The sequence below is a fragment of the Homo sapiens genome, chromosome 3, assembly GCF_000001405.40.
Source record: "Homo sapiens chromosome 3, GRCh38.p14 Primary Assembly".
Taxonomy (NCBI): domain Eukaryota; kingdom Metazoa; phylum Chordata; class Mammalia; order Primates; family Hominidae; genus Homo; species Homo sapiens.
Window position 1 is genome coordinate 188,556,754 of NC_000003.12, and position 18,293 is coordinate 188,575,046.

The following is an 18,293-nucleotide window of genomic DNA, read 5'->3' on the forward strand; positions in this document are numbered from 1 at the left end:
CACTTTTGGCACTTCAGGCTTGAAATCCAGGTTTCTGAATGCCCTGGTGATTGATTGACATTTCACCTTCAAGGTCATTCCAATACTTAATGTAGAAGTGATAGGGTAAACTCTTAATTACTGGAATTACCTATAAATAAATAAATGACTTAAATTTCCTAAAATAATAGTTAATGTCTTGTTAATCTGAGTTCCTTTTCTCTGTAAATTATTTCACAGGCATGACCCTCTGTAATTTTCTCACCTTTTAAAGTGATCCTGAGGTATATCATGCAGGATAGTTGACCTTTGGGATTGGTGTTCTTGCCCTACGGTAGATAGCTTTGTGAAGTCTTCCCTCCCTTTCTATTTCTGGGACCTAGAACTTAAAATGGCCTCTTATGTTGAATTCTTCTCATTCATATTTCTATAAACTCAAATAATGGTGCCTTTAACATCTTCAGACGTGCCTTCATGCGTTACAAAAAAAAAGATGGTTTGATATTTGTTTCCTTTATCTTCTTTGAAATGCACGAATAAAGGTAACTATTTACAAACCTGAAATAAAGCAAAACTGTGTTTATTAGATTCTTGAAAAGCGGTTTTGCAAATCTAAATCAAGCACCGGGCTAGGAGGACTACATTAAGCAACAACACCAGCAATGAGTGGTATATTTTAGGAACTGTGTCCATGGACAGAATGAGATATCATGAGCAAATATCTGTTGCAATTCCTGTGCCAATTCATAAATGGCAACAGCTGATTCTTGCCTTGCTCACATAGTTGTAGTCTGGATGGTAAAAGGTAATATTTTCAACTCCTTGGTTTACTTTGTCAGGAGTAATAAGTTTCTAATAAAGAAGCTATATTTATACTTCTCACCTAGCCTCTCTCTCTCTGTGTAGTCCATGCCACAAACACTGTACATTGGCTAACATATTTGTCTGAGTAAGGGTGAGAGACAAGAAGAACATGAGGGAAACTAGAGGTTGTACAAGTAAATTCTATTGTTGCTAATGCCATAATTTATTCCAGATATTATCTAGTCCCAGAATGTGCATATGAATGTTCTGGCGCTCTCTTTTCTGTACTTGTAATAAACAAGACATCAGAAGACACAAGAGTTGAGAGGGCCCAGTTTCAGTACCTCTTGTTATAAATCATCAAGCAGGTAAAGAGAAGATCCCTGATGTTATCAGTACTTTTGAGCAGAAAGCATGGATGTTATCAGTATTTTTGACCAGAAAGAGAATGGATGTTATCAGTATTTTTGAGCAGAAAGCATGCGTGTTTGTACACCTTCTTGTTTACTCCACATAGGCACTCCGACAAAATAGTATCTCTACCTCAACCAGTAAGTTCCTTATCTGTCTCTGAGTTCTTTTGTCCTTCTACAGAAACAAGAGTGTTTCTCTTAAACTAACTCCCTCATTCTGGATAAACTGATATAATAAAAACACCAGAACGAAAACGCATGTATTCATACCATACTTTCCCACCTCACTGTGCTGTACTCTGTAGAGTTCATATCCTCTCTTCTTTTACACCTCTTCAGTGAGCTCTATAATTTTCTAGCTCTTGGTTGTTTCTCTGTTCGTATCATCTACCTGCAATGCCATTCATCACTTCCTACCTGCCACTCTCACCCTTCATTTTTTACCTGAGGAGCTGCCTCCTACCCCGTATGAGTTGCTGTACACGTTTCTTTTGACACTTGTCACATATATACCCTGTTATGGTTGTGGTCAGCTGTGTAGATTCAACTTCCTTGACAAGGCTGGAAAATTGTGAATTGTAGGAAGTGTGTTTGAGTGTGCTTCCGTTTCTGGGATTCCCACTGTGTCTAACCCTGTGGTATCTGGCATGGGTTAGGCAATCAACAAATGTTTGCTGAACAAATGAAAACAAATGGGTAAAAAACTCAAACCTTTAATATTCATTTTTTAAGAAAAATAGTAAATAGCATTACCATGACTGACAGACCACAGTTAATTTGCCATTTCTACCTCCCACTTGCTGTTCTCAAAAAAAGTGGAATAAAACCACAGATTTGCCAATGGTCAAAAGATGAATCTAAAGGGCAATGATGTTACAACTTATTATTAACTTATTTCATTTCTGCCTACCAAGAAATGTGTATGACTCAGCTTTTGTCCAAGCAGCACTGCTTTTGTTCTATTTTGAATTCGTGGTGGAAAGGATGAGTTTTTGATAAAGATCTTGACTTTTTTGTATCAAATAGAGGATAGGACGGTATTATAGAGATTAGGTAATGAAATGCATGGGTTCTAATGCCTGCACTGCCTCTACCCCTGTCTAGCTATATGACCTTGAACATTTCCTTGCCTCTGTCTAGGCCTTAGTCTCCCCAGATGTAACATGAGGGAGCTGATGTAGTTAATTGTCAGTGGCTCTTGCAGCCAAGCATCCTAGACTGGAATTCTAGGTGGGATTCAGAGTAATTCCTTGTGATGACATATGACTCAACCTTCAGCTGTTAACTGGCTCACCATCGTGACAACAGGCACCAGATTATTCACACATTTTTGAATATTTGAATTGCATAAGGCTGCTCAATGATGGTGAAAATTGGGTCCTAAATGTTCTATCAGATATATATGTAGTGTAACCTGTTCAGGATCTCGTGTGAGTGTAAAATGATGTGTGAAATATGCACCAAGCAAGAAACACTTTGCACATTATGATAAGGCAGTAATACAATTTGATTTTTATGAGTTAAAGATGATGGTACTATAAGAGCTCTAGTTATATGAAGCCTGGAACTATAGTATGTCTTAGTCTTTATAGAAAGGAAAACAATTAAAAATGTTGTTTCTCACTCTTGTATTTCCGTGTTCGTAGAGTCAATAGTTTCACTCAAGGCAGGAAGACAAGACCTGATGTTAGCCCCTCTGTCCGAGTCATTCAACACCTCACCCCCTCCAGTTATATTTATATTTATACATATTTTATTATTCTTTTACTATGCCAGTACCACAATGGGAAATATGTTTACTTTTAAAAAGCTACCCAGAATCCTCCAATTTCTCGTCCGAGAATATAAAAACACTTACCTCACATAAACTCACTTAAGAAAATGTGAATGTAACACTGTTCCCCCAAACCGCTTTCTTCTTTGAATGCCAGCTTTTCACATAGCAGCTTTCCTGACCTCCTACTTCCAGGACCTCAGACCCCTCTGTCTGTGGGCTGGCACTTGGAATGTGGCTGTCCACTTGGCAAAGTGGAAAGAGCTTCTGTTCTCACTGTGGCATCTGGGGCCTCAATTCTGGTTCCACCACTCAGCAGCTCTTTGAATGCTAGGAGGATATTTCACTTCTCCAGATCCTAATCTCTTCACTGGTAAGAGAGGAATAATTATATTTACTTTTTGACATGGCTAGAATAATTACAGAGAATGCATAGAGAGCATCTAACACAGAGACTGACAGGTAGTAGGTGCAGGTTTACTTCCCCTTCTGTAGATGGTCCAGGGTCTCTGACGCATCTCTGCTTCTTCACTGGTTTATCTCTGTGCTATGCTACCACCAAGGAGTCGTCTATGCACAGATAAAGAGGGAAAATGGTCTGCAGTCATCACTTGGGATTCTATGCAATTCAGTGAGGTCTCAAATCACTACTCAACAACCATTCAGCAGCAATGCGATGTCAATGTCCTTATCTGTTTCTCATGCTACTACTGTTTCATATCTCCTACGTAATGTAGTTTAGGAGAAAGAGTCATGAAGTGGGTTCCAGTAGTCCTGGCTTCCAGTTCCGATTCTCAGATAAACCTACTCTTTGACCCATGCCAAGTCATATCCTTCCACATATTTAAATGACAATCCTATACCTTAGTTCTCTCCAGAGATACATAGATTGTTCAGGCTGATGCACTTATGCTTTGATTTACTGGATATTCAAGTAATGAAGCCTATCTTTTTCTATGTTTTCTTCTTTTTATGGAATTCAAAGTCTATGTGTTCTTGCCATTGCCCCTGAAGTAGTAACATTTCTGAGCCTGGCTGATCTAGAACCTCTACAAAGGCTGTCCTTCCTTCTTGATAATAAGTCAGTGCATTTACCTAATATCTGGGAGTTTACAAAGTATCTTCATTTATTCATTAGTATTGAAGTCTCAGTAGTAACTCCTGAAGATGGGGATTCTTACCCACATTTTAGAGATGAGGAAACAGGATGGGAGATGAAAGGATGTTCTCAGGAGTCCCACAGTAGGTGTTAGTTACATAGCTTGGATTTCAAGCAGCATCCTTCTCCCAATCCCAGGTCCTGGCCTGAATGTAAATGTGATTTCCAATCCAAGTTTGAATGTCTGTGCACTCATTAGTCCCTAGACAAATCTGGTTTTTCTTGCATGAGAATGAAATTGAACTTTCAAACATTTTCTTAAGCCTGTAGGATCTACATTCTCTTCATTTTCTAATATACTTGTAACTTTAAATTCCTTATTAAGCCCGAAGGATATTTCACTTCATTGTAGAAATTTACCATTGCCATTGGCTTCTGCAAAACTTGGCAGTGAACTTTTTTTAAAAAACGTGGCCATTGAGAGTGGTCCCCTTGATACTTGAGTGTGTATTGTCCCAAACATTGCCTCAATAGGTAGTTACTGTAGAAGAAAATGCCGTAGTTTTAATGGCAGCCTTGAATTTTCTCCTCTCTCCTTTAATGGAAATCCATTCTATACTTATTAATCCACTGAGCTTGTCAGTACACATCCCTGTCATTTCTCAAAAATGTAAGGAAACAGCATGTATAGAACAAGCACTGGACTAAAAGTCGGAGGAGCAGATTTTAGACCTTCCTTTTCTACCAATTATTTGGAATGTGGCAAATCGCTTTACTTCTGTGAACATCTAGTTCATGTTTTATAAAGCATTGAAGTAGATCATTTCTAAGGTTCTTTTCCACCCTATTTGGTAAATTGTCTAGCATGTTCTACTTCCCACTTGATTAAATTACTCTGCTTCATTTTTTTTAATTTTGCAAGGAAATACTCATTACATATAAGGATAGGAGACTTCACTTATTTCCACAGATATTTATTGAGCACTGACTATGTGAAACATAATTAAAGTGTAATGGGCATTTGGAGGAGGGAGACATTCCAGAAGAGGAAACTGTTATGAGTAAAGATAAAGCAGTTTGAAAGTGCACTTTCTAATGAGAACCTGGAGATTCATGGAGAATTTGCAGCGCATGGACTTGTGAGCAGTTGGCGTTAAGGTTGAGAAGAGGGCAGTGTGGACTGAATGTGGAGGCTTCTACAGTGTGTACTATTTATAATCACGCACACACAGACACACACAGACACACACAGACACACACACACATACAAACACACACACTCATCCCTTTTCAGGGTCTCCTGACGACCTATACTGCCTGTTGCTCTTTTTACCTCAGCCAGCAAAGAGATAAATTGTCAAGATTAAGTAGATCTGAACATTTGAGAAGGAGTTCCATAAAAAAGACAATGAAAATCAAGTGTACCAGCATCTTTAATTCATACAAGGATCATTTTCAGTTTAACAGTTTATCTCCGTTGTTGGTTGTGACTTCCTGCAGGACGTGACTTTTGATATATTCATTCTTGAACTTCCACCAAGCACAGTTTCACCATAGTTGATGCTCAGTAATAGATCCTTATTTGTTGGACTGAATTGCTGCCTACTGAAGTCAATCCTAGAAAGGAGAGAAGATAGCTTTTTTACATAGAATAACTAGGAGGGGTTTTCTTCTTTTGAATGAGCTACCAATAACAAAATAAAACTGCAATGAAAGAATTGACAGCCTGGATCTGTAATCTGCCTGACCTGATAATTGTAAAAACTGATTACTGTGTCAGCCTGCCAGATGGATCTTCTCCTTGAAATGTAACGTGCGGCACTTCTGAATGTGATTCAAGTGCAAGCTTCCTTTTCTCTCCCCTTCATGTTTGTTAGTTTGGGAAAGAAGCAGTTTTATTTGAACTGAACCCACTCATTTTAAGTGTGTTTAATGACAGCAGTATGTGACAGATAAAATAAAATCCTACGGCCTCGTTTGATGTTTAGTTTCAGACCTTAGTGAAAGGAAATAGGATAAAACAATGTTGTTCAAAGGGAGAAGTTGAAAACAAATGATTTGTTATTACACACTTAGCCATATCTCTCCAGGGAAATTTGGGAAGTCAAATAATATAAACGGTAATAATAGTAGTACTTGAGATTTGTGGAGTGCCTAGCAGTTTGTCGAGTGGCTTTATGTTCATTATCACATCAAGTCTAGGAGGTTGCCTGGCCAGAAATCATCATCCCACTATTACACACACGGTTGAGTGAGTTACGCTAAATACTACTTCTAAAATGGTAGAACTGAGCCTCACTCTTGGTCCTGTTGATTTTGAATGGAATAGTTCCTCTAATTCTCTGTGCTGGCTCACCAACCAAACATGTGTGCAGTACATTGGACCACGTTGTGGAACCAGCCTGTTCCTTAACTTTACTGAAGCATATATATGCTGGCAATATACAAATAAATTATCACAACGGATTTCAGCAGTGAGAAGTATATGAAGTTGAACATAACAGCCCTCCCTCAGTACCCATTCATTTTCTCCCCTGCCAACCCCAACTCTTTTTCCAAAGAGTAATCACCATTGTCTTTTTGTTGTGCATCTTTCCAAGCATGTATCTATACATTTATGTATACATTTACATATATATGTGTGTGTGTGTGTGTGTGTGTGTGGTATATTATCTATTTTTTTCAGTTCTTTTCCTCTGGATCTTTTCATGTCAGTAAAAAGGATTTGCCATACTATTTTTAATTCTGTATAGTGCTCCATAGTGTAAGGGTTCATCACTGAGTCTCTTTTATAGTGGAGAGCTTCAGCTTTTCTTTATTACAAACAATGTTAAGATGAGCTTCCTTGCATATGTATCTTTGTGTACATGTGAATCCAGAATTGGAATTGCTTGTGTTTTTTTTTGTTTTTTTTTTGTTTTTTTGAGATTATCAAAATTCAGTGTGGGCCATCATCGCAAATGTTAGAATCCTCATCTTAGCTCATGTTATCGACCTGGGTTTCCACTTAGTTGCTTGGGGATGTGTTGTTCAGACCAAGCCAGACACTTCTCTAAACAGACACTTGTGGCCAAGAGAGTAAATGTTGGGGAAGTTATTTTCCATGGCACTGTGGTTTGAATACAGGCACTCACCATGGAAGAAGAGTAGGGTATTCTTGTAACAGTCTTGTTTACTTAAAACAGCCACGACTCTTCGCTGAGATAGAATAAGGTACTTAACGCAATAAAAATAACTACCATAATTTAAAAATGCAAATGTAGCAATGCACTAAAAAATACCTTTAGCTTATTTTTTGTTAAGAAACAAGTGTTTTGCATAATCAGACTTTAAAAAATATAATTGAATTCTCTATACTGATTCTATGATAGGAAGGTCCAGAGTCAGGTCCACCTTCCATGCCATACTCCTTCTTTCCACCATTCGCAGCTGGTCCTACTGAGGGTAATTAGTAGGGGATAATATCTGAAAATGTAGGTATGTAAGAGAATAGAGCTAATCTGCCTAGCTTTTATGATATTACAGATCGCAGAGGAGCATCCTCACGGATAATTCCCAAATCACAGATAATGTGTTGTTGTGCTTTATAAGCAGAGAGACACAAAATAAACTCTCTCCCCTATCCTTCTCTTTTATTTATTTATTTTCCTTCTGTTAATAGATTTAGTCATTTTTTAAAACCATAATATACCAGGATGAGCCAGAATTATGTGTGTCTAAGTTCTTTTAAAATAAAGAAATCGTTTCTTGGGTCTGTTTTAGTTAGGTCCTTTCAGGTTGCAGGAACCAAGATGTGCTTAAAGTTACCTCAGATGACTTTAGATGATGGGAATTTATGGTAATATACAGGGAGAAGGAAGGAAGTCCAAAAACCCATGTCAGCAACTAGACAACCAAGCCTCATGGAGACTTGGAATATCATTGAGGACACAACAGCAGCTGATTTTGTCATTCCTCAGAAATAAACATCCAGTGTTTCCTTGTCCGGTGGGTCTTTGTTGGACAAGGACTTAGCTTTCTTCAATTTTCCTTCTGTTTTCTGTGGCAGCTCCTGTTAGTGATTCTGTTTAGTCTTCTTCTGAACACTAGGATGTTCGTTATATGATGTCCTCCTGCCTCATGGCCTCCTCATCCTACGCCGTGTGTCTCTGGCTTTTGCTCCATTCCATCTCTGCTCCCAGCTTTTCTTTTTCTGTATCCTTACACTGAAAAGCCTGAACCAACAGGACCATTATTTTAGCTGGTTCTTCTCCAGTACACATGGAGGAGGAATTCTTCCTCCAACACAGCTCCTGGGTATCTAGTCTGGTTTGGGTTCAATGTCTGATCCAACTAGCTGTGGCCAGAGTGCAGAATTACCTGTTACAAAACTGTGGCAATGTAGTTATTAAAACAAGCAACTTTTTGAGGGTTTTGCTTAAACAGAGTGGTTGGTGTGGTAGAGACAACATTGTATGTACTTCTCTATCACAGAGAGAAATTTATAAAGTCAAGGCAAACCAAATATCTGAGGCTGGGACTTCACCCCAGATGTTTGCAAGTAAACAAGTTGTGGACCTTAGAGATCCGCTCCTCTCACTTTCTGACTGCCTCTTGCTTTGGTCTGTAGACCAATGTTCCACTAGTATTTAGTTTTCATTCTGGTTTTAAAACGGTTTATCTGTAAACCTGTAATTTAAACTTCTGATAAGCAAAACTAACATAGTAATGAGCCCATTAGAAAGCAATCGTGAGATACTATTAGACTTTGATAACTTTCAAGAAGCTTTATTCTATTTTTGCCCATTCAAAGCTAACATTTTTGGCAGTTTTAAAACTGAACGGGGTTTTTGTTTTTTCCTAAATATGTTTGTCTGATGTATATTATATCTTATTATGGCAAAGAAACTTAAAGTACCAAATAGAATGAAGACATATTTGATATTAAAATAATGAAAAACATTCAATATTTGATAACTTCAGAGAGACTTTGACTAAGCTTCAAGGTTATTTTTATAAACATGTACTACTGGACAATGTATAGAAGTTTCTTAGCTCACAGATTTTCACTTTGGTAGATGAGGACTAATGTGTTTGCCAGAATGTGCACCTCTTCTCTATTTACCGTAAAGAGAGGTGTGGGTAGGAGATTGCACAGTGTCACTTAGGGCTTAGAGGTGAGGGATTTTGGAATAGCTTTTAGTTTAACCTGCGTGTGAGAAAAGAAGGTTTCATCGTGTGGTTAATAGGAATTTTCATATGATAGGAAAAGGATTAACAAGATTTAACTTTATATTCTCAATAACTTCCCAATTAACCAGTGTCTTTGATGAGGAAAAATTTGAAAATTATACAGTTGTGTTTCTTTTCAATCTTCCCTTGCACGATTACAAGACGATGGAAAAGTGCTTACACTTTGATTGCTGTTCCTAATAACCATGTTAGAATTTCACAGGTGATCTGGAATATCATATCTTGACTTTCATATGTGGGAGCAAGAGTCAGCAAACAACCTTTCTGTGCTTAGAGATGATTTTATACATAAAATAATATTGTTTTGAAAATGAACATTGATGGGAACTGTGTCATATTTTCTGTATCATATTTCATGTTAGCTTTATTAGTTAGCTCTCATTACCTCACCAAATAACTCAGATTTAAAAATATGTATCTTAACTGTGATCAGCCTAAGGACTCTATTCGATGATCAAGTCATAGTCAAATCACAGTCTCATCTCTTAATGTGTTCCTTTGATCCTCCTCCCAACTCTCCCTCCAACATTCATACCAAATCCTTGGATGTTTCTGCTTAGTTCAAAAAGCCATGTTCTCTCACTATGTAAATTATACCAAGAATACCACTAATCATATACGAGAAGCTAACAATCTATGCTTGAGTTGTGTGTTTTTTAATATCATGCTTTGGGATATGATGCCAAATTGGATCTCCAATTTGCCTTTAATTAGTCAGCAACACTTATTTAATGCCCACTAAGCTCAGAGCAAGGCTTGGAGGGTGGAGAAGGGGAGTAAGGAGATCGAAAAACAAATACACTATCATTTCCAGAATAGTTACAGTATCTTTATGCATACAGAAAACAGATAAATGAAAGGATTTAGAAAACTTAAAAGCAAAATCCAAATGAGTGCAAATTGGTCTGATACAAACTGAGCTATATAAATGCAAAGAGGATGCAAATTATAAAAACTTGAAGAGTTTAAAATTGCTATCTTTCTACTTTTATTTTCATAATACTTTGCCATGAGAATTCTTAGATCTCAGGACACCATACCCTTCAGTGAGGAAAGTTTACTGGTTCAATTGTATGATTTAGAGAAACAAACCTAATTCTTAGCATTTTATGGGCTTCTGAGAGATGACGCTGTAAAACTTTTTGAGTCTCTGTTAAACTTTTCTCGTCATTAAAGCTTTTATGTAACCTTGAACAAGTTCCTTAACCTCTCTGCGCCTCAACTTCCACATCATTAAAATGGGGATGATAATAGGACCCATCTCATAGGATTGTTAGGACTATTAAATGTATTATACTCTATTACTTGTATCCTATAAAATATCTTTCTCACAGTTTAATTTCTTGAAAATTGAAACACATCCTATGATTGATGTGGTAAGAAACCATTGTAACACATATTAAGTGACACCTGTTGGTTCTTTGTTAGTAGGTTAGTAGGGAAAAAAAAAGATGCAGTTTATAGTCAAAGCCGTGTGTAAAGTGTGTCTAAAGTGCTTAAAACAAAGCCTGTCATACAGTTGGTCTTATAGAATGATGCTGTTATCATCATTGCCTGAATACCATATTTGTGGTATGTAAAATATTTGTCTCCAATTTCACTGGCTTCTGTCCTATGAAGCAGATATACTTATAGTTCCTGGTCTTTGAGTAAATAGAGCCTAGAAGGATTATCAGATATTACACAACTGCCAAATAATGACTTACATCAAACCAAGAGTTTATTCCTCTTCTCATGCATATCAACACCTGTTTAATCTGATCATGTTTTCAAAAACCCACTAGTGATCTATTTATTTCTAGCTATAGCTTTCATCACCTGTATTTGGTGATTTGTTGCTGGCAGAGTCCATACTCATAACACTAAATCTGACTACTGTGATTACAACAGTCTTTCTAAGTTAGATACCACTAATGATATTGATTAGGGAGAAGGCATTCTTTGTGATCCTATTTGCACGATCTCGGGTAATTCACTTACTGGACCCAATTGTTAGTTGTGAAATGTGAATGTTGAAAGCAGTGAATCTTCCAGCTGCTTGATTTGTGATATCACTATCAATTTACCTACTGAGGAGCTTCATATAAATTGGTCATTTGTAGAAAGTAGTTCAGTGGCTGAGAATCTGGCATAATATTTTATTTTTATGAAATTTCAGTAAACATTATTGAGCAACTTGTAGGTTTCAGGCTCCACGATAGGGATGCAAGCATGTAAGACCTCTGTCCAGCAACTGAGAGGTAAAACTACAATGAGAAAGATAGACTGGTAATTCAGATTTATTTTTAAATAATAGCTTTTTGAGATATAATATACTTACCCTTCAATCCACTGACTCTGGTTTTAAAGGAGATGATTAATACATTCACTCAACCGATATTGAGCATCTGATATGTGCCAGAGACTTCCTATGTGCTAGGGTTATGGAGATTGACAATAGTTATACAAAACTGAGCCTGTCACAAAATGTGTATCGACAGACAGTCTTCCATTTGGTGCTATAGACCAGTACTCAGGGTCAGCAGAGGGTACTCTGGAAGCATATTCAGGGACAAAGCAAACCTAGTCTTGGAAGATCTGAGGAAGTTTCCTATGATCATGTCTGTCTCCTGCCATAACACCCTGAATGCATCCGATCTGAACTAAACTGAGGTCTGACAAACTTGTAGGAGTTTGCGAGGTGAGTGGCTTGGGGAAAGTAGAGAGGAAGAAGTTTTTCTGGAAGAGAAAAGAAAATATGCTGTGGCTCTGAGGTGAATCACATATAATGCACAATAGCTTAGTATTGTGATAACATTTGGGACTGTGTGGGCAGACAGTGGCTGCAGGGCCTGAAGGGTGGAGAGGGGGAACTTACGCTTCAGTAGGGGTGTATATGTCTTATTATGAGGTCACAATGAAGATTGAGGTCAGCTAGAGGATGTGACATTCGAGTTGGGTCACAAAGGATGTACAGGAGTTTTTCAAGGCTGACCACAGTCTAGGCAGAAGAAATTGCAATTGTGAAAGGAAGATTTGCGTGAAAGAATGGTGTTTTTGGCTGAGTGAGGAATTTGAAGTATCTGGAAAATGGAGTAAGTGGCACAGAGAAAGAAAACAGCCAAATAATAATAATAATAATAATAAATTGGTGAGGGTTCGGAGAGCCGCTTACAATTGGATTCGGTGCAATGCAATGACTTTATATGTTCTGTACCTTGTCCTTGTAGGCAGTTGCAGGCACTAGGGACAGGAGTCTGGGGGGAAGACAGGAGCATTGAAAGTTTGAGGAAAAAATGAGAAGCATGCTTTAGAAAGATAATCTGAATATACTTGAATTGGAGGGGCCCTGGATTGTGAATGAAAATTAGAAGTATGTCATCTGTATTGTGTAGGATAGTGCTTATCTACAAAGAATTTTATGTAGAATTCCCCATCAGATTAACCCTTTGCAGCAATAGCCAATTATTTCTGATATTAAAAATTATAATTAAATAAAAGATATGGATTGGTAACTAAACATTTATTGAGAAGTTACTGTATCACTTCCACAAATCAATTCACTTATTTTTCTTAGTAATCCAATGATGTAGCCTGTCATTTCTCCCATTTTTCAGCAGAGGAAATTGTGGCCCAGAAGGTTGTATGTAACTCATCGAGGCACTAAGTGGCAGAGGTCATGTTTCAGCCTCGGCCATCTGGCTCCAAAGCCTAAATGTATGAATTGGCCACTAAAGGCACAACTGAAAATACTAACAGTCCCTGTGTTAGTGAAGAGGGATATTTGGCAAAAAGTTTTTATTTTGCTTTTTTACAATTCAGTGATTTGTAATTTATTTACAGAGTCATGCAATCATTACCTCAATTTAATTTTAGAACATTTAAAAAGTCCATGCTCATTTGCTTCCCATTCTCACTCTAACCCTAGATAACCTCAAATCTACTTTAGTGGTAGTCAGTTTGTATGAATGGCAACTTCAGTTTAATGGCTTTTTTTTTTTTTGAGTAGTCACAATCTGATAGCCTTAATCACTAATTCAGGAGAATAACATTGTTTGACCATATCATTTCTAACTTCTGCATGCAATTAGTGTACTCTATTCATAATTTGATGCAGAGAAGGGTAAAAGTGACAGGCCTTGTGGCAGTCATTGGTCAAAGGCATATGAGTAAGACTGCCTGAGACCCTACCCTGGAGTTCTGTCTTGCAGGTAAGGCACATAGACAAACTATTAAGCAATATTGGAGAAAGAAATTATTGTAGAAATCCTGATGTTTTTGGTGAATGGCTTATGTTAAACTTCTCTCTCCTGGAAGTCATTGAATTGTTTTTAAAAACTTAGTATGTATGAAGCATTTGGAATGCTTGGCATTTTGAGAATAAAATCCACATCAATTTAAAATAAAATAAAACTCCCCATCCAGAATAGAGTAGTAATTGCAAGGCATAAAATAGCCCAGCTGTGGAGTGGCTTAAAGGACAATTGGTCTCAGGCAGAGAGTACCAGATAGGACACGCTACACAAAGGACTGTAATGTCTCAATTAGTGTACCTATTGGGTAGCACATATATCTGAAATGGCTTAAAATAAAAATTGCAAATGCACCAGATTTAATCAATCTTAGTATTTCCTTCTCTTATGCTCTCAGTCCTTAGTTAAAAATAAAATTTGCCTGCCTCATTCTCCTGTGTGCTAGCTAGTAGGATTAACTGGAGTTCTCAACAGGAAAGCAATAGATCTAGTAGACGACATTGTATGGTGGGTGAAAGCCCGCTAGAGATAATTATACAGTCACTCCCACTATATTACCCTTCAAAGAAACTGAGCCTAATATTCTCCTCCTAAGCAATTTAACCAACTTCTAAAAAAAAGTATAAGATATTATTTAGAGAATGAAATAGCTACTGTATATAATCAGGAGGAAGAATTATAGCAAATTATACTCATTTGATAAGTGTATAAAGAGCTACGCTCAAAGCTTTGTATTGTACCTCCCAAGTAATTGTTCAGTTGTGCTAACTGTCCTTAAAAAAGGAGAAGAGATAAAGAACTGCTAAAGAAAAAAAAATCAATCATTATACTTGTTCAGGAAGATTTTCCTTCTGGGCAAAGATTAAGTCTTATTTCATGCTCCATGAGGATCAAGCACACATTTGGCCCTCCCATGTTTAGTAGTGGTGATTTCTTTGCCTTTCTCACATTCATGTTCATGTATAAACATAGACACCAATATAAAACTAAATGCAATAAAAGTGTGTTTTAAGATCTACCACATGTATGTCCTAGTAGGTATAGATAGATGTTATATATCTGTGTTCACTGCACTTACATCCCAATATTTTCAGAAGATAGGACTGTATGCAAATGTTTCCAATATCTCTTTCTAGGATCACAAAAAAAAAAGAACCCCTGAGGTCTTTCTACTTGTTTCAAAAATGAGCTGGTAGTAATATTAGAGCCAATTTCCTTTTGGTTTGCTTTAAACAAAATAAACAGCCCATTATGTAAACTGTATAAGACTTAAGTGTTTGAGCACTTCCCTTAGAGTTTGTAAGTCTTATGCCCCCACCATCAAAAAGTAAACAAATAAATAATAAAAAGCCAATCTAATTGTTATTATGAGAAGTCATACAGCGTATTTGCTAAGAGCAGCTCCTCTAAAGATGTCAGACTGCCTTAGATGGAACACTCTGTATCCTCCGCTTGCCAGCTGGGTAACATTCAACAGGAAGCTTAATCTCTCCATGCCTCAATTCCTGACTTCAAAATTATTGTAGTAATACAATGCCTACTTCATACAGTTGCGGAGACATCAGTTAGGCGCTGTTCCTCTCACATATGTCATCAATTCTGAGACCGATTCACATGCTTAACATTTCTGACTAATTACTGTTACGTGGTAATCATGACATAGCGGCCATTGTCTGTACTTGTACATCAAAATCTGCTGTCTATGGAGATTAGTGACTTGGAAGAAAATCCTGGAGTCAATAGTGGACCCCTTTTTTATTAAGACTCTTGATGGCCCAGAGGTCAGTATAATGAGGAAAACATAGAACTTCCATGATTTTGACTTGAAAAGTAATTCAAAGGGTTGAAATTTAAACGTAAAGAAATTTTTGGAATGCTTTCATTTGTTGCACTTATATTTTGCTTTTTATGTATGTAGAGGGGTGACATATGATAAAAAAACTATGGATAATTTTAAGCCATTTATTTCAACAAACATGTAATATATATTCTAACGACAAAGCCCTATGTTATAATTTAAATGGTAGTAATTTTTGTTTCCGGTTTTGTAATAGCTAATGGTGTATTTTATAATCAGTAGCATCTTTGATTTGATGGGGTAGTGTAGTAAGAACTCAATAAATGTTAGACTCCTCATTAGGATTTGGGTAGAGGTTAATGTCGGTAGACACATTATTAGAGTTAAGGGTCCTAAGGCTTTTTAATGTGAGCAGAGTGCAATGAAAGAATATTTTGGATTGACCAAAAGTCTAGAGAACCTGATTTGTAACTGTATCATTATGACTTACTGAATTTCATTCAGTAAATATTGCATGAAATTGAGCTGAAATTCATGTCTGCTAAATATGTGTACTCTGCCCTTTTCTCTTCATTATGAGGATTAAATTGAATGATAGGGGTGTAAGCACTTTGTAAATCCAAGTAAGAATTATTAGTTAGGATAGTTCAGGTAGTGCTGTAGTAACAAATACTTACCAAATCTCGGTACTGAAAACAAGGGTTTATTTCTTACTTATGCTACTTGTTCATCATAGGACAGAAGGAGTTCTTTGCAGACTAATAGTTGTCATTTCCAACACTTTTGACCTCCATGCCAGAGTAAAAGAGCTCTGAGGGTCTCAAACTGGCAATTCCACACTTTGACCTGGATGTAATACATGTCACTTCTTATATAGCTCCTTAGCCAAAACTATTCACATGGCCCTACCTAGCCATAGGGTTGCCACAGAGCAGAGAGCTGGAAATATGTGGAGAACAGTGTCAATAAGTTTGTAATAGTAATAATGGTTGACAATCATTGTGTGCTTCTTAGTACCAGGCACTGTTGTAAGTGCTTTAGATGGGTAGAGTCCTTTAGTACTCATCAAGTGGGTATGATCATGATTCCCATTGTACAGATGACAACCCAAGGCACAAAAGGGTAGACCAACCTGCACAGAAGAGACAGAGCAGGGATTTTGCTTGTGTGACATTGATGTGTGTCTCAAACTATAATGGATTTGAATGCATTTTTTAAAATGTAAAAGGAAGATACAAATATAGTTGAGAATCTTCTGTTCTGAAAAATAAGAGATGAGGTTTGGTGATCCCCAAGCCTCCCTAAAATTTCACCTGGATCAGCCCCAAATGACCTACACTTACAATGACTGCTGTGTTCTTTTGGCGCCTCATCTTCAGAAACCAGGGGCCCTCTCCTGGCCACTGACTTACGTCGTAGCTTAGCAGAGGGGCATTGTCCCAGCGTTTCGGTAGATACTTCCTCCTTTGACTTATTTAACCTTTCTATTTTGGGAGTTTTCTAACGTGTAGAAGAACAGTAGAGTGGCCACAGTCTACTCCATTATCAATGATCAATACACAATTACCAATACATTCTCAATCTTGCTTAATTTCACTTTGCAAGTTAATCTGGCTGCTTGTCAAGCTGAGCTGTGAACACAAACTGTGTTCTTGGGGTTGCGGGGTATAGAGCTCCTAAAACAGGAAGCCAGTGACCAGGGGAGGGCCAGAGAGGACATGTGGAGGACAGAATTGAAGGGCTTCAACTGGAAAAGAGGGCGTCTCTAATCAATAGTTTAGACAAGTTTGCAAGTGGAAGATAAATGATATGACAATATTTAATCATTCATAGGACATTCTTGTAATGTAAGGGGGAAAAGGAGAAATATGTTGTTAATAGGGAGCCAGAATTATTACCTTTCTCCGTAGCTCCAACTGTAATCTTGCCTGCTATTGAGGTAGTTAATAAACCAAAGCCTGTGAGCTCTGTTCAATGGGACAGCAACCAGAGAGGCTTCTTTCCAAGCCCTCCCACCAGGCCAAGAAGCAGCTGAGCTGGATAGAAAGCATGCCTTCAGCACCCTGGGTTTCCTCTTCAGTGGCATCCAGAGGACCCTGGGTCACTTCACCTCTCTGTCTCTTTCTGAAAAACGTATATAATAACCGTCTGGGTGACTCACAAATCTATTATAGCATTTAATTAACAAATGTTCCTCAAGTGCTTTGAGCTCCCTGTTTGGATAGATGTGACTGAAATGTAAAATACCTTTCACTGCCTTATTTATTGCTCCAGCGAACACGCTATATGCTGGCACCATTTATCTTCATTTTAATTTTATCTCCCACAAATATAGGCATTAATTTAAATCACATACAGAACATAACAGTTTTTATAGAGGCAAACTTATTCCAGTGTGCTGCATTTTAATATCGCACTTTACCATCTTTTCTCACTTGATTCAAGAATAGTATCTCTTCCTGCCTCAGCATTTAATCTTAGGACAACAGAAACTTTTTTGTGTGTGCATGTTCTTGCTCTCAAACTTTGTTTCTCACTGCTTTGCTGCTTGTTGCCTGAAAGTTGTTCTGTCAGTGTGAGCACAGGTGTAAGTAATTCCATTTCTCTTTTGCCAGCGTAATTTCCTGTGTGTGTGTGTGTTGTGGGGGCTAAGGGGGGTGTGTAACATGATGGATTTTACAGCTGAAGCTTATACTCATTCATCTTCAGATATCTTTTCTAATAGAAATAAAGACAATAAAAGTGATACCCTCCTCCTGAAATTTACACATTAAAGACCCCTTCAAACTGCTCACTTTTTTTCTGTCTTTTTTTTCATTCAGAGGCAAAATTTCCCCCTTTTTTTCATCACTGTTACGTTTGCGGCAGATGAGTCTCTTCCTTGAGGGGAATCGTGGTAAATGGGCCTGCTGTATTTACAGCTATGAAACATTCCAGTTGGCTGTCACACCCTAAGCAAGGA

The 18,293-nt window shown here is 37.5% G+C and overlaps 1 protein-coding gene and 1 long non-coding RNA gene across 59 annotated transcripts in view; one reads left to right on the forward strand and one right to left on the reverse strand.

Annotated features, from left to right (window-relative positions):
• The window catches only part of LPP (LIM domain containing preferred translocation partner in lipoma), a 737,651-nt gene that overhangs the window by 403,733 nt on the left and 315,625 nt on the right, over positions 1–18,293 (forward strand). The window contains exon 1 of one of the 58 annotated variants that reach the window (NM_001387676.1): positions 12,252–12,375. The exons of the other annotated variants lie outside the window; for them this stretch is intronic. The gene's annotated coding sequence lies outside the window, so the exon portion shown is untranslated. Of the gene's footprint in view, positions 1–12,251; positions 12,376–18,293 lie in introns of those variants that run through there. 58 annotated transcript variants of the gene reach the window in all.
• Positions 5,484–11,913, reverse strand: LPP-AS1 (LPP antisense RNA 1). The gene is made up of 2 exons (NR_046623.1): positions 11,622–11,913; positions 5,484–5,686 (listed from the first exon to the last, which is right to left on the reverse strand). It is a non-coding gene; the product is annotated as an LPP antisense RNA 1 (long non-coding RNA).